At 45.6% G+C, this 24,951-nt stretch overlaps 3 long non-coding RNA genes across 8 annotated transcripts in view, besides 4 other annotated features; 2 read left to right on the forward strand and 1 right to left on the reverse strand.

The window, feature by feature from the left end:
* Nucleotides 423-542: a silencer, noted in NCBI's record as "silent region_12982". NCBI's record gives its function as "represses an Ori minimal core promoter by ATAC-STARR-seq in GM12878 lymphoblastoid cells {active_cell/tissue: GM12878}" and the evidence as "EXISTENCE:reporter gene assay evidence [ECO:0000049][PMID:35858748]".
* Nucleotides 4,378-5,352: an enhancer, noted in NCBI's record as "OCT4-NANOG-H3K4me1 hESC enhancer chr20:46607945-46608919 (GRCh37/hg19 assembly coordinates)". NCBI's record gives its function as "activates a minimal SCP1, AML or CMV promoter by ChIP-STARR-seq in naive H9 embryonic stem cells {active_cell/tissue: H9 hESC(naive)}" and the evidence as "EXISTENCE:reporter gene assay evidence [ECO:0000049][PMID:30033119]".
* LINC01522 (long intergenic non-protein coding RNA 1522) lies at nucleotides 5,270-15,294 on the reverse strand. Its single transcript, NR_110027.1, has 3 exons — nucleotides 15,192-15,294; nucleotides 13,784-13,919; nucleotides 5,270-5,955 (listed from the first exon to the last, which is right to left on the reverse strand). It is a non-coding gene; the product is annotated as a long intergenic non-protein coding RNA 1522 (long non-coding RNA).
* Nucleotides 8,286-8,785: an enhancer, noted in NCBI's record as "H3K4me1 hESC enhancer chr20:46611853-46612352 (GRCh37/hg19 assembly coordinates)". NCBI's record gives its function as "activates a minimal SCP1, AML or CMV promoter by ChIP-STARR-seq in primed H9 embryonic stem cells {active_cell/tissue: H9 hESC(primed)}" and the evidence as "EXISTENCE:reporter gene assay evidence [ECO:0000049][PMID:30033119]".
* On the forward strand, nucleotides 8,403-9,490 carry LINC01523 (long intergenic non-protein coding RNA 1523). The gene is made up of 2 exons (NR_109942.1): nucleotides 8,403-8,698; nucleotides 9,159-9,490. It is a non-coding gene; the product is annotated as a long intergenic non-protein coding RNA 1523 (long non-coding RNA).
* Nucleotides 12,235-24,951, forward strand: part of LOC107985436 (uncharacterized) — a 34,006-nt gene continuing 21,289 nt past the window's right edge. For 3 of the 6 annotated variants that reach the window (XR_007067621.1, XR_001754651.2, XR_001754650.2), the window contains exon 1: nucleotides 17,344-17,711. This is a non-coding gene — a long non-coding RNA (uncharacterized LOC107985436). Of the gene's footprint in view, nucleotides 12,302-15,365; nucleotides 15,823-16,431; nucleotides 16,888-17,343; nucleotides 17,712-24,951 lie in introns of those variants that run through there. The other 3 variants (XR_007067622.1, XR_007067623.1, XR_007067624.1) reach the window with 3 other exon arrangements.
* Nucleotides 18,249-18,749: an enhancer, noted in NCBI's record as "H3K27ac hESC enhancer chr20:46621816-46622316 (GRCh37/hg19 assembly coordinates)". NCBI's record gives its function as "activates a minimal SCP1, AML or CMV promoter by ChIP-STARR-seq in naive H9 embryonic stem cells {active_cell/tissue: H9 hESC(naive)}" and the evidence as "EXISTENCE:reporter gene assay evidence [ECO:0000049][PMID:30033119]".

A 24,951-nucleotide genomic window follows, 5' to 3' on the forward strand; every position in this document is an offset into this window, starting at 1 on the left:
ATAATTTGGCCGAGCCTCTTTGTTTTAGAGGTTGGTCAACTGGTGTCAAAAGCTGGAGAAGGACTTGTTCAAAGTCACAGAGCCAAGAGCCACCTGGGTCCCTGGTGTCTTTCCAGTGAACACCACCGTGACCTCACTGGTCCTGAATGGTCCCTTTTTAAATAAAGAGATACATGGTCATCAAATGCAACACCACTGAATCTGTCTGTTCCCTGCCCACCTCTTCTCAGAGACATCCACAAGTAATCCTCTAGCTGTTTCCGCACATTATTTCCGAATCCTGAAAGAGGAAGCTTGGCCAGGTGCTGAGGCTCATGCCTGTAATCCCAGCACTCTGGCAGGCTGAGGCGGGTGGATTGTTTGATTCCAGGAGTTCAAGACCAGCCTGGGCAACATAGCAAAACCCTGTCTCTACTAAAAAGACAAAACATTAGTCAGACGTGGTGGTGTGTGCCTGCAGTCCCAGCTACTTGGGAGGCTGAGGTGGGAGAATCACCTGAGCCCAGGAGGTCAAGGCTACAGTGAGCCAAGATCGCACCACTGCACTCCAGCCTGGGAAACCAGAGTGAGACCTGTCTCAAAGAAAAAAAGAAAAGAAACGAAAGAGGAAGCCAGGGAAGCTATTCATAGAGCTTTCAAGGTCTAGTGTTATCTAATGTCTGCTAAGCTAGATGAGAAGTTAGCTCTTACACCACCCACCAGCTCCCTTCCTGCCACGCTGTATGATACATCACTATTTTTAATTGCATCATAATCAGCCTTTATGTCATGTGACCAGGTAAATGCTATTCTCTGCAGAGCGAAGTACTATAATATTTTCTTTCTTACACACCTTTCATTTTTCCTAGAGTTCGTAATTTTCTTGTTTTTTTTTTTTTTTTTTTTTTTTTGAGATGGAGTCTCGCTGTCGCCAGGCTGGAGTGCAGTGGCATGATCTTGGCTCACTGCAACTTCTGCCTCCCAGGTTCAAGCAATTCTCCTGCCTCAGCCTCCCGAGTAGCTGGGATTACAGACGTGATGCTGGCTAATTTTTGTATTTTTAGTACAGACGGGGTTTCATCATGTTGGCCACGATGGTCTCGATCTCCTGACCTCGTGATCCGCCCACCTCAGCCTCCCAAAGTGTTGGTATTACAGGCATGAGCCACCGTGCCTGGCCTTCTTGTTCTTTTTATTTGCAAAGTTTACTTACAGATACTTAATTATTTCTCAATCCTCCGTCAGTGAAGCCACTCCAGTGTTTTTCAAGCTGTTTTGATCACAACCCATCATAAGAAATTATTTTACAATGGAACCTGGTACATACACACACACACACACACACACACACACACACAGAGACACACACCCCCCATATATATGAATATAAAGTTTCACAAAATAATACTGATACCTTTTGATATTTTCTACTCAACTCTGTGATTAATGTTTTAAAATGCTAGTTGCACCCGCTGAACTGACGTTAGTTTGAGGAGCTCTAGGCCAGTCCCACGAGGTCCTGCTCTGTGCACTCTCCTGAAACTGACCAGCTCCCATCTGGACTCTTCTCTCTGCTGCTCTCCTGAGGTGATCAGTTTTTTTTGTTTGTTTTGTTTTTGAGACGAAGTCTCACTCCGTCACCTAAGCTGGAGTGCACTGGCGCGATCTCAGCTCACTGCAACCTCCGCCTCCCAGGTTCAAGCAATTCTCCTGTCTCAGCCTCTGGAGTAGCTGGGACTACAGGAAACTGCCACCATGCCCGGCTAACTTTTTTTTCATGTGTTTAGTAGAGACAGGATTTCACCTTGTTGGTCAGGCTGGTCTCGAACTGCTGACCTCAGGTGATCTACCTGCCTCGGCCTCCCAAAGTGCTGGGATTACAGGCGTGAGCCACCCTGATCAGCTTTTTGATAGATCTCATGTCTTCTCTAATTAATTTTCTGCTTTTTATGAGTCACTGGCAAATTACTTTTTTATTGACAGAAACAAAATCGTAACTCTCCAGCATTTTATGTTTTCTTACCATTCCTCCAATAACAGAAAATACTAATGAGAAGGAGAATATTACAATGAAAGGAAGCAGGAGAGCAAATAAGAGATTCGACCTACACATGGTTTTGATTCTGCGTGAGGCCGGTCATACCCAGATGAAAAGCTAGACATCCAGCTACGTACATCCCTGGAGATACCCAGACGATGGAATGGAATGTTCACTGTGGCTCTAAGTCAGAGCATCTCATTTAAGCTTTATGGACAGTCTGCGCAGGATGTGTCTGTGTGGGGACTTCTCCTGTGCATCATGGGAGGTTTAGCAGCATCCTTGGCCTCACTCGCCAGATGCCAATAGCATCCCCCTCTCCTAGTTGTGACAATTGCAAACATATCCAGACATTGCCAAATGTCCTCTGGGGGGCAAAGTTGCCACAGCTGGGAGCCACTGCTCTGCAGGTTTGGACGCTGTGCCTGCAATTCCATGCAGCATCACGGGCTATTGATCATGTGTCAGACGGAGCTTAAATTGGTCGATCGCATCCTCAAGTAGCCACTCCAGAGCGTGATTATCTGACACCTGTAATTTACCATCCTGGTTACATGGGGGGCAAACGTGGAATTATGCACATCAGCGGGCCCAGGGCCTGTTTTCCATGGACTTAGTGTTCCTGCTGAGCATGGCCTCGGTCTCCCCGAGTTGTTAAAGACATTGACGCCTCAGAACTGACTCTGCCTCCACTTAATCAGCTCACCAGAAAATTACAATAAAAATCATCTGCCACTTATGAAATTGCCGTTAAAATGGACTATTTCCTGCCACCTGGGGACAGGCTGCTGTTTCTCTTTCAGCATCGGTATCTGAGATGCTGTCTCTGGGAAACAGCGATCATAGATGCTGTTGAGACACTCCATTGGCCACGGTGTGTCCCTGGATTGAAACCAAAGTCACAACAATGAGTCTGAAACGTACCGAGGAATCGGTTCCAAACATGGCAAGAGCAATTTCAAACAGTGCTGCGAGGGCCCTTTGGGGTCAGGACAGGCACTGATCAGCTGAGGGCACAGGCCCTGTGCCGCCACGGCTCCTCCAAGCCAGCACTGCTCACTCCGTCCGTGAAATCCCAGCCAGGAAGGCCAATGTATCTGTGCCAGTGCCTGAAATGTCAATATCACAAAGCCAGCAGGAGGGGTGACCCGGTGGAGCTCAGCAAAGATGACATAAAACAGGCCACAAAGCTGGTTTGCCAGGGTGCAGGAGGATTTGTCTGTTTTCTCCTGAGAATGGCTGCTCAGCTCACTCCACACAGCATTTCCATGCTTCATCTGTTAGCCCTGGAACGGGTGCCCTGGGAGCCACGGACCTTGGCAAGCTCCACTGTAGGGGAACCTCATGCTGACAGCTCACTCTTGTGGATTAATCCTGACTGTTTGCTGTATCTGGAGCCACCCCCAAGAACCTGATCATACAGCACACAGGAGGGGCTGTGAGCGGAGATGAAATCTGGGCATTGTCTTGGTTGTTATTAATTTAATTGTCATTCTGTCTGAGCAGTTTCATTTTCGGAGAGTGATTTGATCGCCCTTTTAGAACCTTGATCATCTCAGTGTCATGTTCTTAGAGGGAGGCATCCCTGGAAGAGGTGCCCACTGTGGTGTTCTTTTAATTAAATTCATCTGTTCCTGCAATAATGTGGATGAAACACCTGCCCTGCAAGCAAAATACATACTTGCTCCTATTCCCGGGACCCATAGTGGGGTGGAGCTGACCACAGTGTGTGCGTTAGACGCCACTCTTCAGGCAGGTTCACTCCTGAGTCTGCACTCCGGGGACTTCCGCTGTTTCCCATCGTTGTGCTCACACCCACGCGGTTAGCAAGTGTGCATCGGGAGACGGATTTCGCAGGTGCTGAGCTGCTGGGTGGGTGAGCCGGGAGCTGGTGGAGAGAACGCAAAGGCCGGATGTCGTTTGGTTCTTATCTGGAAGATTTGAGGTTGCAAGAAGAGAACTTTCCTTCTCTGCAGTCAGGCAGAGCTCAAGGCAGGTCCTCAGCCTTGTAAGGTCAGCTTTTCAGCCCTGTCTGCCCACTTCTGCTCATGGAAGTCATGTTAGGATGCCTGTTTGTGTCCACGGATGAAGGGCTTCCCCTGCCCCCCAGCCTCATGAGTGGCAGCTGACGCTTTCCCGTCCCTGGGTGAACCTCACTTCCATTTCTCACAGTGCTGAACCAGGAGCAGGGGGAACCTGTGATCCATGATCTCCCACAAATCCCAACAGACATGTTCTATAGTTTAAAGTGGTTATACGAGTTCTTATTTTTGGATATTATTTGTATGTGATCAATTTACATGGTGCTTATTGGGTGTTTGTGTTTTTTATAATGTCGGTTTGTGGGATCTGGGAGAAGAAGGGTTTTTATGAGGAAGATCCTTGGGGAGACAGAAACCTTGATGCGGGGAGCTGTGAGCGCTCCACTCAGGGCAGGGAGCACATTCAGGACGGGCTGGGCAGAGCCTCGGAGGCTCCTGGCTGCCCCTCTCCGAGTGTGGGGCCTGTGGGGCGACTCCATTCAGGAAGGATCTGTCTACTTGATGCAGGAACAAGCCCAGTAAAGCCTGCACTGCAGCTGAAGGAACGATCTGTTTGTTCTCTAAGAGGCCCCTGCAGGCAGGAGATGTCTTAAATAACCACCCGCAGGCAGAGAGTAAAGGACTCAGTGAAGAAAGAAACTGGAGCTCAGTCCTTTGAGGGCAGAAACGCATCCCCCACACCCGTCGTGAGCTGAGCACGGCCACGCCTGGGCTTTGTGGGAGCCTGGCCAGGCCCAGCTCCTGCCCTTTGCTGAACAGGGAGTAAGGAGAAGTTAGATAGCTGCAGGGACGTCCTTGGCCTGACTGGTCTAGCCACCTCACTAGCACGTGGGGCAGATGAAGCTCAGGGAAGCCAAGGGACTTTTCCCGGATCCCCAGGGAATAGGACCTGAGGTCCCAGCTCCTGACTCCCAAGTCAGTGCTCTCTCTATGGCCCAAGGTTGCTCAGTACCTGCCAGGCCTGCGCAGAGCACTTTAGAATCATTAGCCCAATTAACCCTGACTGCCACAAACACATGAGGTTGGGATTGTACCCATTCTACAGATGAGAAACTGAGGCTCAGAGAGGCAGGTAGGAGGAGGAATGAGACCCAAACCTAGCACTGTGATTTCAAGGAGCCCTTAACTTCTATATGCTCATCAGATAAATATTCTACCCTGTGACAATTAGTATTTTCTCAGATTCAAAAAAAAGCAAAAGAAATGTTAATTCTTGGGGACATGGTTCTCTAATTAGACATTCAAAGAAATTCCCAGAACTTTGTGGGTTAGCAGTGATGTTAAGTTACTATTGGCTTCTGCCCCTCCTACCCGGCCCTGCCCTAAGCATTTTTCTGGTGTTTAGTTGTTGAAACATCATCACAAATTTGTATGATATGTTTTGATGTGACATCATTGCCCCTGTGTTAAGGGTGTGGAAACTAGGCAGGGAGAGCAGAAATTGCTTGCTCTAAAACCTGAACCCATGATTCCATTTCCTTGGATATATGCCTGGGTTGGGGATTTGGAAACCTGTGGGAGGCTGTGTTATTGAGGGTCATTGTTCTCATTCTCCATCTTCCTTCCCTGGATCCGTGTCCTCTGTCCGTGACTCTGTAGTTTGTGCATCTAGAGGCAGAGTCTGTTTCCTTGTCCTGTTGATGTTGGCTTTGGTTGTGTGACTTGCATTGGCCAATGGGACGTCAGCAGGTGTGACGTGGGCAAAGAGGTGGCATGTGCTAGCACAGCTGGTCTTGCCTGCTTGTTCTCCTGCCTTCCATCATGAGATAAATAGGCCTCTGGTTGTCCCTGTCCAAGGAAGATAGGAGACCCTCAGTACAGCAGACCTGGACCCAACTTTCAGCTTGCAGCCAAGAAAAGCCAGTCCTGGCTCAGATGTGATGAACCCCATCAGACCTGTGGACATGAGAATGAGAAATAAGTACTATCGTTTGTAACTGAGTTTGGGGGTGGTTTGTTACACAGTGTGACTGTGAGAGTAGCTGACTGATACAAAACTAGAGACCCAACATGCTGCAGCACTCACTAGCACCCGAATGCACCTGCCGTCAGGGCCATCTTCTCCGGACACACCATGCTTTCCATTGCCCCCAGGGCATCTTCATGTCAGATGATGGGTCCTTGCCCACCGCATCATGTTGGCCCCTGTTTCCAAGGGGCAGGACAAGCTCTTCTGGTCTAGTTCAGTGGAGCACTAACTCTGTGCATCAGGGGAGCTTTTGCTTGTTTGTTTTGTTTTGCTCTAATCAGACGTGCAAGGACCTATTGAGTTCTTCTAATGCAGAGAAAGCCTGTTTGGCTATCATTATGTCAGTTTCTTTTTGACTTTTGCAAACTTTCTTTCACTAAACATTCGTCAAACCTACAGCTGGCCTTTCTATGGTGACAACAAAATAACAGGAGTGTTTGTGTCCTCTTTGGATCACGCTGACATTTCTATCCACCCTGACATCTTTGCTGGAGAGAATCCAACTGTGCCCCCTCCTGACAACTGTTCCTGTTGGGAAGTTTCTTACTAAATAACCATCAGCATCATTATCATTGTGCGTCTTTTGGACAGGAAGAAGGGAGGGCAAAGTTCTGTCCCAGCCTATTAGGAGTCAAGAGGGAAGCAGACGGGAGCGGCTGACCTCTGACGGCTTCCCCAGGGGGCTCTGGCTGGGCTGCTCAGCTGTGTTGTCTCACAGCATATGCTTCACAGCTCCCTAGGACCTCAGTATCATTCTTACCATAGGACAGAAGAGGACAGCAAAGCTCAGAGAGGCTGTGTCACTAGCTTTAAGATTTAGTTTCAACCTTAGAGTTAGGCTTTCCCTCTTCCTGATTATAAACTGAAATTATAATAACAGCGAGTCAAGGCTTTCTAAACTAAGCATATTCACAGGAATATTGATTATAATAACCAAAAGCAAAACAAGAAAAAAAATAAAAATTGTATTGTCCAGAAATAGAAGATTGGTGAAGGCAGTTATCGTATATCTATATGAAATACATTGTAACTAATGAAATTTATGTTTTTGAAGGCTGCTTGATGGCCTGAAGAAATGAACATGGTATAATGTGAAGAAAACTCAAGGCAGAATCTGATGAGTAAATTAACAAAACTTCCAAACTAACTAAATTAAACATTTAGAATAAATCCTAATTTTATAAACCAAGTAGATTTTATATGTGCATTAAAAACACTGGAGTTAGATTTTATTTTTTCTCTATTTCTAGGAATATTTTATAAACTTTTCAATTACTTTTTAAAATCAGAAAATAAGTGAACATTCTTAAGAGTAAAAATATAATAAAAGCATAGAGCAGCCTTGAGGTGTGACGGGTAACTGTCTTATCATCTGGGACATTTTTTCATTTCACAAATGCTCCCTTCTTCTTTGGGATGCCTCAGGGCAGGGACCCTGTCTCCTCTCTGTCTTGGTGGCACCAGGAACAAACATGGCCCAATAAATAATTGATAACAACAATTGATAGCGCCTTGAAAGGAGTCCGTTCACTTCAGGTGGCTCACTAACTCCTCAAGGCTTTCTCTTAAGTGCATTTCATTTGTTTGATTTTTTTTTTCAACTTAAATGGATGAAAATTAAAGCCAGGAGAGAGCTGTTGGCTCGCGGACAGCCAGAAAGAGAAAAATAAATGAGTGCAGTCCCTGAAGGGCCACAGGGTGGGGGCTGGACCTGAGCACCTGCCGTGTCTGAAAGTCCATTTTTTGCCCAGTTGTTCTCTAAGGCACTATGATCTAAAAGTCAAAAAAGAAAATGGATGATGTATGGAACAACATTCAACATTGTTACTACAACATAAGAAAGTTGGATTTAGAGATCAGAGAGAACGGTCCCTGCATCAGAGTCACTTGCTAACAGGTGTGTACTGAGTACCCACCCCTGCCAGGCACTGCTCTGGGTGCTGGGACAGGGCAGGGAACAAAACAACGCCCCCTGCCCACCACCCACTGCGAGGTTACTTTCGAGTCTGGAGGACAAGCAGTAGCCATTGAACCGGCAACTGCATGATGTGCGGGAGGTGGGGGCTGTTCTAAAGGACGATAGAGGTGAAGGGCAAGGCCGTGTCAGGGGTCAGGAGGCCTCTCTGAGGAGGTGGGCGAGCCCTGGGAAGAGCATCCCAAGCAGAGGCACAGCAGGTGCACAGGCCCCGGGGCAGGAGAGACCTTGGTGATCCTGGGTGAGGAACAGCAGGGGGGCGGGTGTGGCTGGAGCCATGTGACCCAGGGGGAGGTGAGAGGAGATGAGGTCACAAGAGAGGGCGTGGAGTGAAGCGGTGAGGGGTGACCTGTGGCCTGTGGTCACTGTCTCCAGGTGAGCAGGTCCCAGTGGAGAGCCAGGGCTCTCAGGGGTCGTTCTAGGGGGAGGAGCATCAGCACCCCGGGGCCCTGCTGGGAAAGCCAGCTTTCAGGCTCTGCTGAGACCTCCTGAATTGGAACCTTAGGGTGGGCCTCGCCATCGGAGTTTTAACAAGGCCTCCAGAAGATTCTGACACTCACCAGAGTCTGAGAGACACAGCAGAGCTAGAACCCGGGCTCCAGTTTTCACCCAGGAGACAGGAGGATTCTGGCTGGAAGGGCAGGAGGGACTGGGGTCCCCCCCAGAAGGAGCGCCCCAGGACGATGCCACACAAGGTGGACATTCGCTCCTCCTGGGAATGTTCTCTAAGGGTTGCTTGGACAGGAAAGTGGCTCTCTGAGCTGCCTGGCATTGGAGATGCTGGGGTGAGTGCCCCAGGAGCAGGCCTGCACTGGTGACTGACAGGCAGGAAATAAACACCCCAGCTTCCCCTGTGTCTGGGTGACTCTGAGGGGCGTCCCGTACACAGATCCCAGGCTGCTCAGCAGGATCGAGTTGGGAAGGGGGTTCCAGGACAGGAAGCAGCATGACTAGAGGTGGAAGAACCTTGGCATATGCAGGGCACTGTGTGTAATTCCATCGGGCTGCAGTGTAAGCTTGCAGAGAGGAGGAGGGAGAGTGGAGTGAGATGGAAAGTGACTGATGAAATGTATGTCTCCCCAGGAACGTCGGTCACGGATAAGCCCCCAGTGAAGGGACTTAGGAAGCCTCTCCCCCTTCGTGTTCTTTCCCCAGAGAGTCTTCAGAGACTGGAAATGCTTGCCAGGGAGGAAGAACCACTTTCTGTCCTCCATCCTCAGGAGCACAGAAGGGTGAAGCTGAGCCCACATAGAGAAGCATCTCATGCTGTCTGCAGCGGCTGCAGCGCTCTCCTGGGGCAGGAGATGCTCAAAGGTCAACATGACTTTGAAAAGGGGCTGGGAGAAAAGCCCCCAGTGCTGGCTCTGGACTCACTATCCCAGGGCTCTTAAAGGGCTAAACATGACTAGATTGTAGTGAGCCTTTCCTAACATGCAAAGAAGCATCCAGGGATAATGTCTAAATACAGATGTGCTATTTCTCTCCTCCTTCTTTTTCAACTTTTCCGTCACCCTCAGTGTCCTCACAGCAGCTTCCCCTTGTCCTGTGACAAACCTGGAGCAAGGTGCTTTGGGTGGGAGGCAGAGTAACATGGGAGACCCTGAGTTCTGCATGTCTCTGCCTGTATTTCCCTCCTTCCTTCTAGTTCATGGAGGTAAACAGGTGTGGCGACTCCTCCTGGCAGGGACTTTCACAGGACAGAGGCAGAAGCTACTTGAGAAAGATTTAGCTCATCAGAGCGAGGGGCGGGGTGGAGAGGGAAAGAGATGGAGGAGAAGATTACTGAAGAATGGAAAGGTGCAATGTCCCCCAGGTCCTAGGGATGTGCTGGAATGCAGAGGGTGGCTGTGAGGTCCCACACCTGTAAGCGGGAGTCACTGGATTCCACAGGTGGCTGACCTGCTGACCAGAGATGTGAGCCCAGTTTCCTCTTCTGTAAAATCAGGCGTAGCCCGGTGGCTTTCAACCCTGGCTGTATGTTAGTGACACCTGGGAAGTTTTAAAGATTTCTGACGCCCACATCGGACTCCAGATCTATCAGATCAGAACATCTGGGTTTAGTATCTTTAGTGTCCCTCAGGTGACTCAAATATGCAGCCAAGATGGAGAGCACTAACCTAAGCTAAGTCCTGTTTATGAGAATTTAGAGACCAAGAAACACTTAGAGCAGGTAGGATCCTAAGAAATCACCTGATGCAACTCCTACCATTCGCAGGGGAAGAAACTGGTTTTCAGAGAGGCCAAATCATTCACCCAAGGACACAGAGCATGCTAGTGGCAGAGCCATTTCCAATATTCCCTCTGCCTCTTGACCTCCCTAGAAGACCCACTTGAAGCTCTCAACTTCACAGTAGAGCTGGGTCTGAGAGGCCCACATGGGATCCCTGATTCCAGGAAGGAAGCCCAGGCCTCCTGGCAGCTCAGTGAGTCACACTGCAGCAGTGGCCCTGAGGCCCCTCCTTGAAGAAAAATTCCAGGAGGCTTGAAATGCTCTCCAAGATATAGAAAAGGAAGATGTGCCTGGAAACTGGAGAAGATTGCACAGTGGATATAAATATTTGGGTTTTGTGGCTTCTTTTCCCCGCAAAAAATAAACATGGCAGAATTGCTTCTCACTGAAAGGGCGTCTGGGTTTCATAAACAGACCATAAAGAGGCACCTGGAGACCCAGAACATCCCCAAATCAGCATCTGTCCCTGCCTTCTGGCTGTACCTCCATCCTCCTCGGTCTCTCTCTCTCACCCAGGCTCACAATACAAGGAAGCACTCTTGCCTTTTGGAAAAAGGACGGCCTTCTCCCCACCACTTGTCTCTTGGCTCCTCCCACAGGTGGAGGGTGAATCTGATTGGTGGGAAGATAAGACTCTGGGCTCCTCCAGTGGGCGGGGCTAATATGCAAATGGTCAAAAGAGTTAGGATGCTTTTGGCGGCAACTAACAGAAAATGCAGCTAAAAGTGGCTTATTTTCTTGCTACGTAAAATGGGTTCCATGAACCAGCAATATCAGTTCATTAGAAATGCAGAATCTCAGGTAATACCCAACACTTACTGAATCAGAATCTGCTTTTCTCTTTTTAACAAGATGACCCAGGTGATTCATATGCATATTAAATTTTTTAATTACTTAGAGTCAAGTTTATTTTGCTTAAGCTTTCTACCTGGCTGAATATCTAATTACATATTAATTCCAAATCTTCCCCAACGCCCCTGCTACGTTTTCCTGTTTGAAAAAAAAATCACAATACCAGAAGGAATTGATTTCTGATATGTAATATACATTATTTAACCGCCTTCGTGCAGTTCAGGAAATGGGTTCCCCACATTAATTCATGGAGCCACAAAAAATTTAGTGAAATTTGGCTAAATAATTTTAGATTCACACGTGATTGTAAGAAATAGGAAAAATCTCACATGCACTTCACTCATTTCCCCCCAATAATACCATCTTCCTAATTATAGTAAAGTTTCACAACCAAAATATTGACTCTGATACAATCCATCTATCTGACCCGGGTTTCACCAGTTTTATATGCACTAATTAGTGTGTATTTAGTTCTTTGAAAGTTTATTACATGTTTAGATTCATGTGACCACCACCATTAAGATTGAAAACAGTTCCTTCCTAAGCATTCCTCACGCTGTCCTTTTATAGCTTGTTCCATGAAGAGCAGGTCTATGTAAACCTTTCCCCAAAGGCCCAGCAAGCTGAGAGGCTGAAGAAAGAAGCTGACAAATCCAGCTTCTATGAAAGAAACATTTAGTAGGGACCTACTAAAGCGATATTTCAGGTGGCTGCCAGACTGTGGATCCCTACACCCACTCTCCAGAAAATATCCTTTAGATAGGAAGCTTCTGTTTTTGTAAAATACGTGCAACTACTCACACCTCAGATTGTGACACTTGTGACCGCTAAGGAGGTTAGATAAACATATTTATGAGGGGTTATCTATGCTATAGGCATTGTTTCTTTTTCTTTTTATTATACTTTAAGTTCTAGGTTCATGTGCACAACGTGCAGGTTTGTTACATATGTATACATGTGCCATGTTGGTGGGCTGCACCTGTTAACTCATCATTTACATTAGGTATATCTCCCAATGCTATCCCTCCCCCCTCCCCCCACCCCATGACAGGCCCCGGTGTGTGATGTTCCCCACCCTGTGTCCAAGTGTTCTCATTGTTCAATTCCCTTTATGAGAGGTTATCTACACTATGAGAGCACCTTAGTATGCAAGAGTCAAACACTGGTCATCATGGCGGTTTTGCTTCAAGATGGTGTCACTCTTGCCACACAAAAGGTTGTTTTCCTACATAGCTATACTCTTCTCCTTCCTTCCTCTACTCCTAATGCTTGGAAACCACTATTCCGCTCTCCATTTTGATAATTTTGTCATTTAAAGAATGCTGTAGTGGCTGGGTGCGGTGGCTCACGCCTGTAATCCCAGCACTTTGGGAGGCCGAGGTGGGCGGATCGCTTGAGGTCAGGAGTTCAAGACCAGCCTGGCCAACATGGCGAAACCCCGTCTCTACTAAAAATACAAATATTAGCCAGGTGTGATGGCGGGTGCCTGTGATCCCAGCTACTTGGGAGGCTGAGGCAGGAGAATCGCCTTAACCCGGGAGGTGGAGGTTGCAGTGAGCCGAGATTGCACCACTGTACTCCAACCTGGGCTATAGAGCAAGTCTCGGCCTCAAAAAAAAAAAAAAAAAATCTAAGTGAGGTCATATAGTGCATAACCTTTTGAGATTGGTTTTTTTCACTGAGCTTAATTCCCAGGCGATTCATCCATGCCATCACAGGTATTAATAGCTTGGTCCCTTTCATGGCTGAATAGTATTTCATAGTAGAGATGCACCAGTTTGTTTAACTCATTCATCGAAGGACATTTGGGTTGTTTTCCAGTTTTTCACTATTATCAGCAAAGTTGCTATGATTATTCGTATATAAATTTTTATCTGAATACAAGTTTTCATTTCTCTGGGACAAATGCCCAAGAGTGCAAATGCCGGGTTATGTGGTAAGCGCATGTCTAATTTTTGGAAGAAACTGCTGAACTGTTTTCCAGAGCATCTGTGTATCAGCAATGTATTGTATGAGCAATCCAATTTTTCTATACCCTTGTCATCATTTACTGTTACCACTATTTTTTATTTTAGCCACTTTCATGTGGGTATTTAGTGATTTTAATTTGCATTTTCCTTATGGATAATGATGTTGAACATCTTTTTGTGTACTTACTTGCCATTCATATATCACCACTGGTGAAATAGCTGTTCATGTCTTTTGCTCATTTCCTAAATGGATTTTTTTTTTTACTGTTGAGTTTTAATAATTCTTTATATTATTCTAGGTATTAAATCCTTTGTAGCATAAGTGGTTTGAAAATATTTTCTCCTAGTACATAGCTTGTCTTTTCATCCTCTTCACAAGGCCTTTCGCAGAGCAAAAGTTTCAAATTTTATTGAGGTCCAGTTGATCAATTTTTCCTTTTGCGCATTGTGTTTTCTGTGTCAAGTCTAAGAACTCTTCTTCTAGCCCTGGGTCCTGAAGATTTTCTCCTAAGTATTTTTTTAAAAAGTTTTATAGTTTTACGTGTTACATTATGAGTCCAAAATCCATTTTTGAGTTAATTTTTGTATCATGTGTGACAGGGTGTGATTAATTTTTTGTCTATGTATGCCCAATTTTTTTTCTGACACTATTTGTTGAAAAGGCTATTGAATATTAAAGTTCTAGAAGCACAGGCTTAAATTACAAAGGCATTTTTTTTTTTACTCACTTAACAAGACGTCCAGAAAAGGCAACTCCAATTTGGCTTACTCTGTAGCTCTAGGAAGTCTCTGTCTGCATCTCTGGGATTCTCTGGTCTTCGCCTTGGGGTTTCCGGTGGTTGTTGTGGCTCCAGCATCACCAGCCTGTGTCCAGAACAGAGGAAGGGAAGGAGAGCTGGGAGATTTTTCTCCTGTGTGGCTTGGGAAGGCTTTCCCGGAAGCCTCTAGTAGATGTCTCTTAGGTCCCATTAGCTATTAATAGAACTGGATGACAGGCCTACTCGCAAACCAATCACAAGCAAAGGGGAGAGGATTACTGTGATTGGCTTTGAACCACTGACCAATCACTTTGCTCTGCTTAGGGCTGAGGCAGGGCCACCTTCCTTCAGCACATTGTTTTCTACTGGAGGGGTGAACAAAAGTGTGGCTCTGTTACCAAGGAAGAAAGGAAAGTGGTTGCTCAGTGTCTGCTGTGAACCTGGCTGTCCCTATGTGTCCTCTCTCCTCTGTGTATGTGTGTGTGTGTGTGTGTGTGTGTGTGTCTTGCAAACATCAGTGCACAACACACCACAGTCCCATAATTCAGTGGAGTGTGTATCTGCTCGGCAGACTCCACTGTCCCCACAGTCAGGGTCCAGGCACTAGAAGGTATGTGGCAGGAAGGTAGAGGAAGACCCAAGCCACAGACCCCCATCCAACTTCGAGTGCAAGCAATGGAAACCGACTCTGGATTCCTTGATTTAATTTTTTGAAGACATTTATAGGAAGAAATGGGTTAAGTCTGTAGGAAAATTAAATATGAAGAGCCAGATTCACGGGGCTTGGGGACATCAGGGCAGCTCCTGGGTCCTCTGTGTGGCCATCATGGTGAATCCACTCATGTGTCACTGTTCACCATTCAGGTCCCCACAGGAGGACAGGATGGTCCTGTCTTGGCCACATGTTACCCCCTGGACTCAGGGACAGTGTTGTCATTTGACTGAAAGTCCCTCCTCACCACAAGGACAGGGATGGGGAGTTTCTCAGCGGAAGCCCAAGGATTTGCTTAGGCCTGGAGAGCAAACCCCACACGCCCTCCACACATCACCTGCACAGACGCCCCTCCAGCTGAGCCAGCCTGCTCACTACCCCTCAGACAGTCTTCCCTCCCATCCTTGCTTGTGCTGGGACCCCTCCTGGAAGGCTCCCCTCTCCTGCCTGCTCTTCTAACTTTCATGATCCTTCAAGACTCTAGTTAAGCCACCCTCCTCCTCCAACAAGCACCAGCCATTGCTGCTGCTGTGTCGAGGTTTCTGAACCTCAGCATTATTGACATTTTGGGCTGGGCAGTCTCTGTTGTGGGACTGTCCTGCACATTGTACAGGATGCTTACAGCATCTCTGGCCTCTACCCAGTAAATGCCAGTTACACCTTTACCTAGTCGTGACAACCAAAACTGTGTCCAGACATTAGCAAGTGTTCCCCGGAGGGGACAACTGCCCCTGGTTGAGAGCCACTCCTTTTCTGAACCTGAGTCACTAAGATTTACTGCCATAGCAACTTAATTACATTGTGATGTTTACTTAACTTCTCACTGCTGCTTATTACTTTGGCAGACTGCAGCCAGCCAGAGAACAGCCAGGTTAACCCATACGGTGGCCCCACACTAAGTTGTCTCCCACACCGTGTAGGGATGGCTCAGTGCACAGGGAGCATGGTGGGGTTTGGGCTTGATGGCTTTGAAGCCTCTGCTAGACTGGGAGGCACACAGTTTGGTACCATGTCTGGATGCAACGTCATGTTCCTGAGGCAGGATGGTGCTTGTGTACCGAAGACAGTCTTGCTGGCTGCGGTGAAGGACAGAGCTCTCGGTGGATCCAGTGGGAACCAAAGCCTGCTGTAACCCTCCAATAGTAACAGCCATCCGCTCAACCTCTGGGCCCAGGCACGCCTCACAGGAGCTCTCTACGGGCACTGTCTCATCCATAATGAATTAGGTATCAGTGTCTGGTTTTTAGAGATTCGGAAACTGAGGCCAGAGCATTCTAATGTCCTAAGCACATTCATGGTGAGTAGGAGCAGAGCTGGCTTCCACCTGCAGGGTCTGAGTCTAGGGTCAGTGCTCATAGCCACGATTCTCGTAGGCTACCCAGGCCCACTGTCTCCTTGAGCACCCATGTGCCCCATGCAGCATGTAACTTGTAGGAAATGAAGGCGTTTGCCAGCCTTTGCCTGTGTCCAGTGTGAACTCATCTCCTATTTAGCACAAAGTTATTACATTAGAGTTACTGATTTAGTGGATACATCACTTTACTCTGTCATCTTGACAGCGATAAGATCTGCATTTTGCTCACTTCTGGATCACGCAATCTAGCAGAATTCTTCATGCATGGCAGGAACTCATCATTATTTGCCTCATTTAATTGAATTGTATTATGGTTCTGTGGACACTTCATCACACCTAACAGTGTTTTGCACAAAGCAATTGTTAAAAAATACTTTTCAAAGGGCTAAATGTTTGATCAATCAATAGGTTTTTAATTGAGCATCCTTACAAGTTAATATCATAAAGTGATGATAAAAGTGTTTTTATTACTGTGTGTTGGTTACCCGGATTAAATGTTTCTTGAAGCCTCAGAGTGCATGATGATTCAGTTCTTCTGATTTTAAGCTCGGATCTATTCAGTGACGAGATATGCAGGTCTGGAAGCCTCTGAAATTTATAATGTGGATGCTGAGAACCCATGATGCTGGTGGCCAATTTTGAAAATTGTTACAGAAATTTATATTCATTAGACATGATGGCAAGTTCTGGAATGGTATTCTGCAGAGTCAATTTAAAGAAATTTGTTTCAAGGAGATAACTGAGGAAGCAGCAAGCAGAGACACTAACTTGGATGTGACACCGCTGAGAGACAAAACTCAGCTTGATGAATGCAGCCAAGCCAGGAAAGGGCTGTGGACCTGTCCCAGAGGGGCCACCTATTTTCTGACAATTGGCAATGTTATCTATTAACTAGAAATCTGTTATGGGACAAGGAGAAGATTGCCTGCAGCTCTCGGAGAATAAGACAGTTGTCCTCTTGGCTTCTATATAATATGTCTCTAAGCAATGTTTTAGGATTTATCAGCGGTGAGATCCTTGGATATTTAACCAAGTCCCCCTGAGGGCTATAACATGGTAGTGATGGGAAATAGAGCTGGGGGCAGGGGAAGAAAAGCTGGGATGTAGCTGTTACCCCTAAGCACATTCTCCTGAAGTGATATCTTTGCAATAATCTGTTTCAATAATATGTTGACATGGGCAGTATTAAGACAATAATCAGAAGAATTTAGAGGAAGCATTCTGAAATATGCGAGTGCAGTGTAAGTGGCCAGAATGTGAGACTCCCAGGTGAAGTCGAGGGTGAAGAGTCTACATGGAAGTGTGCTCTCTCACCGCCCCCCTACAAATGGCAGAAGACTCCATGCAGACTCACCCCCAGTCCACCGCCAGAGTTAGGACCAGCCTCTGACTCTGCGACTTATAAGATGGGAGAGTGGGAGTGCGGGAACTATCCCCCTCTCTGGAGGAGGAGGAAGCCTCAGGGCTGCAAAAGCTGCAGGCACATTCTTCTCTGGTGCTCTGCCATGGGATTCATGCTACAGCCTGCATGACTTTCAGAGCCAGAGCTTGGAACTGCTTATCCTATGCTGGGAGTTTCTTTTGCCAAGGGTTGTGTCTCCTGCTGGGAGTGCAAATACATCTACATCACCTTCCAGGCAGGGAGGGAGAGGACTAAAAGACGGCACCAGCAAATCACTTTAAGCAGGCAGCAAAACCACAAAAATAAACCCTTGAAAATGGGACTGAATGACACGCCCACATCACTGATAAATGCCATTTTCAGCAGACTCATCTCTTCGCCAGAGAGATCAGTCAACTTGGACTCTTGTTACCATCACATTTGGCACCAGGTATCTGCTACACTCTACAACCATTCTCAAGTTCGTGTGCAGTTGGCCCTGTAATGGGGAGCTGAGTTGGTTTGAAAAGCCCTAATTACAAGGCTTAGTGTTTTTCTTTGTAAAAGGGATTTTTGAGTTTAGAAACAAAGTGACTGTAGGTACAAACAGATGCAAAGCTTCAAAAAGTAGTTTATTTTTCATTCTGTGCCTCTATTCACCCAAAGCACAACCCTCCACCTCACTCCATCCCTGGCCAAAAACTGTGGCAGCGGAGGTTGGAGAAGTAAGCACAATATTTTCTTTAGGCTTGGAGAGTAAAGACCTCCCTAGGTAGCATGTCATTTCCAAATGTTACTATCTTTCCAATTGATCTCATCCAGAGTTCTTTGTCTCAGGACCAAGAGAATTAAGGAGCATGGACACAAAGGGTGAGGTTGGAGTGAAAGTTTAATAAGTAAAAGAAGAAAGCTCTCTGCCACAGAGACGGAGCCTGAAAGAGGGTTGCCGTTTTTACAGTTGAATGCAAAGGCTTTTATAAGAAACTGATGAGGGCTGGGCATCTCATTTGTGTAAGGCTCGAATTTCTGGTAGCTCCACCCCATCCTCCTAATGCACCTGTGGCCCCTTAGCTTGAGTTACTTCATATTGTTTGTTCTTCTTACTGTTTATGTGTTAGCGGATGGAATTTTCCATTATGGGCATGTCCGGGCAAGTCACCTGTGTAGCCTTTATTACCTGTGCAGACGTAAGCATGTCTCAGGCAAGCTCCCCTGTGCAAGTTCCCTTATCTGTGCCTGTAGCTCGAGTTATCAGGCTGTTCCTTTGTTTGAAAGAATTCAACTGAGGACCCACCCTAACTGCCTGCCTGACTGGTTTCTTGTTTTCTCTTTTCTCACTAATTGCCCTTGGAAACTCAACATTGGAGATCCTCATGGAATATTGAGGTGCAAGGGGCCCTTGGAGTTGCCCTGTTGTTGGGGTGGGTACCTCAGTGAGTGAGGTCCTGCAGGGAGGCTGGGCTATGAGCCCCTGCACTCGGCATCAGGACTCAACTCCTCTGGTCTGTCTGGAGTCCTTCCTGGGCATTACCCTGACTTCTGAGCCCCTGCACTCGGCGTCAGGACTTGACTCCTCTGGTCTGTCTGGGGTCCTTCCTGGGCATTACCCTGACTTCTGGGCCCCACTCATGACAGAGATCTTTTTATACAGATGACTTTCTTGCTGGACGTCATCTTAGCCTCCTTTTTTTGTGCAACAGTTTAGAAGCTCCATTAAGAAAAAAAAAAACTTTATTTTTTAGAAGTGGACTAATACATACCTCAAACTGTCAACCCACATTGTGATGGTGGAGCCATGGGGGTCTCCAGGAAGTGGATTATTCCCTAGACCCCTCTCTTCCAGAGAAGTGCATGGTGTATGTGTGTGCATATGTCTATGTGCACTGGGGTGTGTGCCTGTGAGCACGTGTGCAGGGTGTGTGTGTGTGTGTGTGTGCGTGCACATGTGTACATATGTGGAGGCCAGAGAAGTTCCATTTCGGAAGTGAATCCACCATGTTGGCTTCTGATTACTCCCAGTTTCAGGAAGACTTCTAAGATTTTCAGTTTATCTATTGTTCCTTGTGTAAGAGCAGGTACTTACTGTAAATCCTGCCCTTAGTTCAAACAACCTTGATGTTATCTTACTTCAATAGTTCTACACATCCCTTCTGAATCACCCCTTCCCTGTGGGTCTGGGGAGTAATGGTGTGGGGATGCATCACCTTGTCTCACCTCCAACCAGGAGACAGACATGGCTTTTGTTTGCACATCCCTATTACATGTTTCTTCCTAAGAAACTGGATTTGTCAGCCTCTCTGTTCATCCTTTCAGCTTCCTCGGAATTTTGAGGGTAGGCTTGCATAGGCCTGGCTGCTGTGGAACAGTGTGCTTGTGTGAGCACGTGTGTTTTGCCTCTTCTGTTAGCATGATGGCCCTGGAGGCCAGCTCTCTGCATCCATTTTCTCTGTGAGTCCTGCAGCCCCCATCCTTAGGAGTTAACAGTGTCTGGTTTAACTCAGGTGTATGGGAAGAGAGCTGGAAGACGAGTCAATTACTTTTTCAAGTCTAGACCATCCAGACTGACTAAGAAAGGTGAAATATTTCATCATGAAAACATTTGGAGATCTGAAGATGGGTCCACGGCAGGATCACGTTCCCCTCGCCACTGAGATTGGTTCACAGGTGATCACATAACCCAGGGCTAAGCCAATGAATGCACAGTATTCCCCTTAGCCACTGGAATTGGTTCAGAATTGATCCAATCAGAGTGAAGACAGAACTTTTTCAATTGTAATAGACTATTTTTTGGAGCAGTTTTAGATTAACAGCAAAATCAGCAGAAGGTTTCGGAGGATTTTCACATATCCCTGGCCCCCTCACCTGTACATCTTCCCCATCAACATCTCACACCAGAGTGACACATTTGCTAAAATCGATGAACCTACATTGACACATCATTATCATCCAAAGACTATAGTTCACATTAGGCTCCATTCTTCGTTTTATACATTCTATGGGTTTGGATACATGTACAGTGACATATGTTCATCCTTATAATATTACACAGAGTATTTTCACTGCCCTAAAAATCCTTTGTGCTACACCTGTTCATTGCTCCCTTTCCCCAATCCCTCGCAACCACTAATTTTCTGATCTTCTGTCATAGTTTTGCCGTTTCTATAATGTTGTATGGTTGGAATCATATAGTACATGGCCTTTCAGGCTGGTTTCTTTCATTTAGCCATAGGCTTTGAGGGTTCCTTCTTGTCTTTTCATGTCTTGATTGCTCATTTCTTTTTGGTGCTGAATAATATTCCATTATCTGGATTTATCACAGTTTATTTATCCATTTGCCTACTGTAGGACATCTTGGTTGCTTTTAAGTTTTGACAACTATGAATGAAGCTGCTGTAAATATCCATAAGCAGGGCTTTTTTTGTGAACATGAGCTTTTAACTCATTTGGGTAAATAGCAAGGGGCATGACTGCTGCTGGATCGTATGGTAAGAGCAGGTTTAGTTTTGCAAGAAACTGACAAATTGTCTTCCACAGTAGCTGTACCATTTTGCATTCCTGCCAGCAGTAAATTAGAGCTCTTATTGCTCCACATCCTCATCAGCATTTGTTGTCAGAGTTTTGGATTTTCTCTATTTTAATAGGTGGTTACTGGTATCTAATTTTTTTTTTTTTTAATAGAGACGAGGCCTCCCTACATTGCCCAATCTGGTCTCAAACTCCTGGGCTCAAGGGATCTTCCCATCTCGGCCTCCCAAAGTGTTGGAATTACAGGTATGAGGCACCGGGGCCAGTCTCATTGTTTTAATTTGCATTTCCCTAATTGCGTACTACAGCGGGCATCTTTTTATATGCTTATTTGCCATCTGTACGTCTTCTTTGGTGAGGTGTAGTTTAAGATCTTTGACCCATTTTTAGTTGGATTGTTTTCTTATTGTTTAGTTTTAAGAGTTCTTTTTATATTTTGGGTAACAGTCCTTTATCAGATGTGTCTTTTGCAAATATTTTCTCCCAGTCTGGGGCTTGCCTTTTCATTCTCTTGACAGTATCTTTTGCAGAGCATTACATTTCAATTGTAATGGAGTTCAGCTCATCAATTCTTTCTTTCATGAATTATACCTTTGGTGCATCTATAAAGTCATCACCAAACCCAAGGTCATCTTGATTTTCTCCTATGTTATCTTCTAGGAATTTTATAGTCTGCATTTTATGTTTAGGTCTGTGTTCCATTTTGAGTTACTTTTGTAAAGGATGTAAACTGTGCGACTAGGTTCATTGTTTTGTTTTGTTTTTTTTCAGGTAAATGTCCAGTTGTTGGAGCACCATTTGTTGAGAGGTCTTTGCCTCATTTGTACTGGTTTTGCTCCTTTGTCAAAGATTAGTTGACTCTATTTATGTGGGTCTATTTCTGGGCTCTCTATTCTGTTTCATTGATCTATCAATGTGACCAGTACCATAGTGTCTTGATTACTGTAGCTTTACAGTAAGTCTTGAGGTCAGGTAGTGTGAGTCCTCCAATTTTGTTCTCTTTTACTATGTGTTGGCTATTCTGTGTCTCTTTTTTTTTTTTTTTTTTTTTTTTTGAGACAGAGTCTCACTTTGTTGCCCAGGCTGAAGTACAGTGGTGTGATCTCGGCTCACTGCAACCTCCGCCTCCCACGTTCAAGCAAATTCTCCTGCCTCAGCCTCCCAAGTAGCTGGGACTACAGGTGCACACCACCATGCCTGGCTATTTTTTTTTTTTTTTTTTGTATTTTTAGTAGAGATGGGGTTTCACCATGTTGGTCAGGATGGTCTCGATCTCCTGACCTTGTGATCCACCCACCTTGGCCTCCCAAAATGCTGGGATTACAGGCGTGAGCCACCGTGCCTGGCTATTCTGGGTCTTTTACTTCTCCATAAAAACTTTAGAATCGGTTTGTCAATATCCTCAATATAACTTGCAGGAATTTTGATTGGGATTGCATTGAATCTGTTGATCAAGTTGGGAAGAGCTGACATCTTGACAATACTGAGTCTTCCTATTTATGAACCTGGACTATCTCTCCATTTATTTAGCTTAAAAAGTTCTTTTCCTCAGAGTTTTGAAGTTTTCCTCATATGGAACCTGTACATATTTTGTGAGTTTTATAACTATTTCATTTTGAAGAGTGCTAATGTGAACGGTATTGCATCTTAAATTTCAAATTCCACTTGTTCATTGCTGCTAAATAGGAAAGTGATTGACTTTTGTATATCAACCTTGTATCTTGCAACCTCACTATAATAATTTATTAGTTCTAGGAGTTATTTTGTTGATTATTTCAGTGTGTCTGCATAGACAATCCAGACCATCTATAGGCAAAGATAGCTTTATTTCTTTCTTCCCAATCTATATGCCTTTTATTTCCTTTTCTTATCTTAGCTAGGACTTGCATTATCTAGGACATCCAGTGCAATGTTGAAAAGCAGTGGGGAGAAGGAACATCTTTTTCTTGTTCCTGATCTTAGTGGGAAAGCTAAGTGGAGTTTCTTGGTATTAAGTGTGATGTTAGCTGTGGGATTTTGTAGCTATTTATTAAATTGAGGAAGTTCCTCTCTATTCCTAGTTCACTGAGTTTTTATCAGGAATGAGTGTTGAATTTTGTCAAGTGCTTTTTCTGCAGCTATTGATATAATCATGTGATTTTTCTTCTTTAGCCTGTTGATGTGATGGATTACATTAATTGATTTGGAAGATAAGACTTTTGATTCACAGCTGGGAAACAGAAGCTTTTTCCCTCCTGGAAAGTGAGGATGCAAACAGTAGTCTGTGACCACGAGGAAATTCAGAGGGAATGAAGTCTCTGGCATTGGAGTCAGAGCAGGAGATGTACAAAGAAACAGAGCCAAGACTCATCAAACCCATTTGAGGCCCTCTACCTCAACTGGAGAAACCTAATGCTTCCTTTAAGGTTTAGTTCAGTTTGATTTTTGTTGTTGTTGTTTGCAACACCAAACATGCTAACTGATATATGCCATACCCCTCAGGTATTTAAGAAGACGGGGGTCAGGGCACGGTGGCTCATGCCTGTAATCCCAGCACTTTGGGAGGCCAAGGCGGGCAGATCACGAGGTCAGGAGATCGAGACCATCCTGGCTTACACAGTGAAACCCCATCTCTACTAAAAATACAAAAAATTAGCCAGGCGTGGTGGCGGATGCCTGTAGTCCCAGCTACTCGGGAGGCTGAGGCAGGCGAATGGCGTGAACTGGGGAGGCGGAGCTTGCAGTGAGCTGAGATCGTGCCATTGCACTCCAGCCTGGGCCACAGAGCAAGACTCCATCTCAAAAAGGGAGGCTGAGAAGGTGTCAGGGATGTTCAGAAAGGGATTTTTTTCTGTGAGTTGAAGACAGGTCTGTGAAAAGCTGTGTGAACTTCCTTCTAGCTGAATGACATAACAGATAACACTTGTTCTCTGGAAAATAGATGTGCACACATGCATGCCTGTGTGTGTGTGTGTGTGTGTGTGTGTGAAAGGTGGGAAAATAATATGTCTTACAGGAATAAAAAAAGAACACTAATATGGCTCTTTCAAACCTCAGCGAAGCTGGTGGGAAGAGCAGCTCAGGCGCATTTTGTGAACTGAAGGTTCTGTGCACCCGAGTAGGGCCTGAGTACTTCCAGGGAGGATGCTCGGCTTCTCTCTGCAGAACAGGGTGTGCATGGTCTACAGGGAAGCTCCTGGCCTCCTGCTGAACCGAGAAATAACTTGACCAAGGGACGGAGCAGGGAGAGCAAACGCTTCAATATCTCTGCCTAACTGTGTTTAGGCTTGCCCTTGAAGAGGCCAGGGTGGAATTGATTACCACAAGCACTTCCCTAAGACCAGAGATGTTGCCACATTTTCCCTGATGAATCCATTGTGTTGTCACCATGGCAACCACCACAGTTGGGGTCTGGCCTGGCTGGCGCATGCTTGCAACAGTTCCCTTTTAGGATCCAGGAGCATCCTAGGTCTATGAAATCTTGCCCTCAGCTACCACAAAGTCTTACTCCTCTCAGCAGCAGGTCCAAATTATCCATGCTGTAGGCCTCAATGTTGGCATGAATTGGCAGCATGGAATTCACTAGGAAGCATTCTTTATTTAAAAAAAAAAACACCCAACATTATTATTTAGTTCAGTTCCTCTGTTCTGGCTTCATGAAACTTAAAAATGCCCTTTGTTGGAAAAAAGAGATGATTTGGTCAGCTCTTGCTGAAGCCCAAATAAAGAGGGCTGGATTTCCCCACCTTGGGTCACATGATCTTTGCTAATTTTCTCTCACCCCCATCTAAGGGCACCCTGTAGCTGGACTTCAGCCATAGAATGTGAGTAAGATGTATAGTCAGCTGTTTCTATCCATGGGTTTTGTATCTGTGGATTCAACTGACTGTGAATAAAAAACATTTGAAAAAAAAAACCCAACAATTTAAAAATACAGATTAAAAAATCAATATGTTATGCAGAATGTGGATTTAAATAAACTAAAACAAAAAAACCAAAGTTAAAAAGGAAAACAAATTTGAAAAGTCAGTATAGTATAAAAACTATTTACCTAGTATTTACATTGTGTTAGGTATCATAACCTAGAAATGATTTAAAGTACATGGGAAGATACGCATAGGTTACATGCAAACACTATGTCTTTTTATACAAAGTACTTTAGCATCTGTGGATATCCGTGGGGGGCG

Source organism: Homo sapiens, chromosome 20 (assembly GCF_000001405.40).
Source record: "Homo sapiens chromosome 20, GRCh38.p14 Primary Assembly".
Classification (NCBI taxonomy): Eukaryota; Metazoa; Chordata; class Mammalia; order Primates; family Hominidae; genus Homo; species Homo sapiens.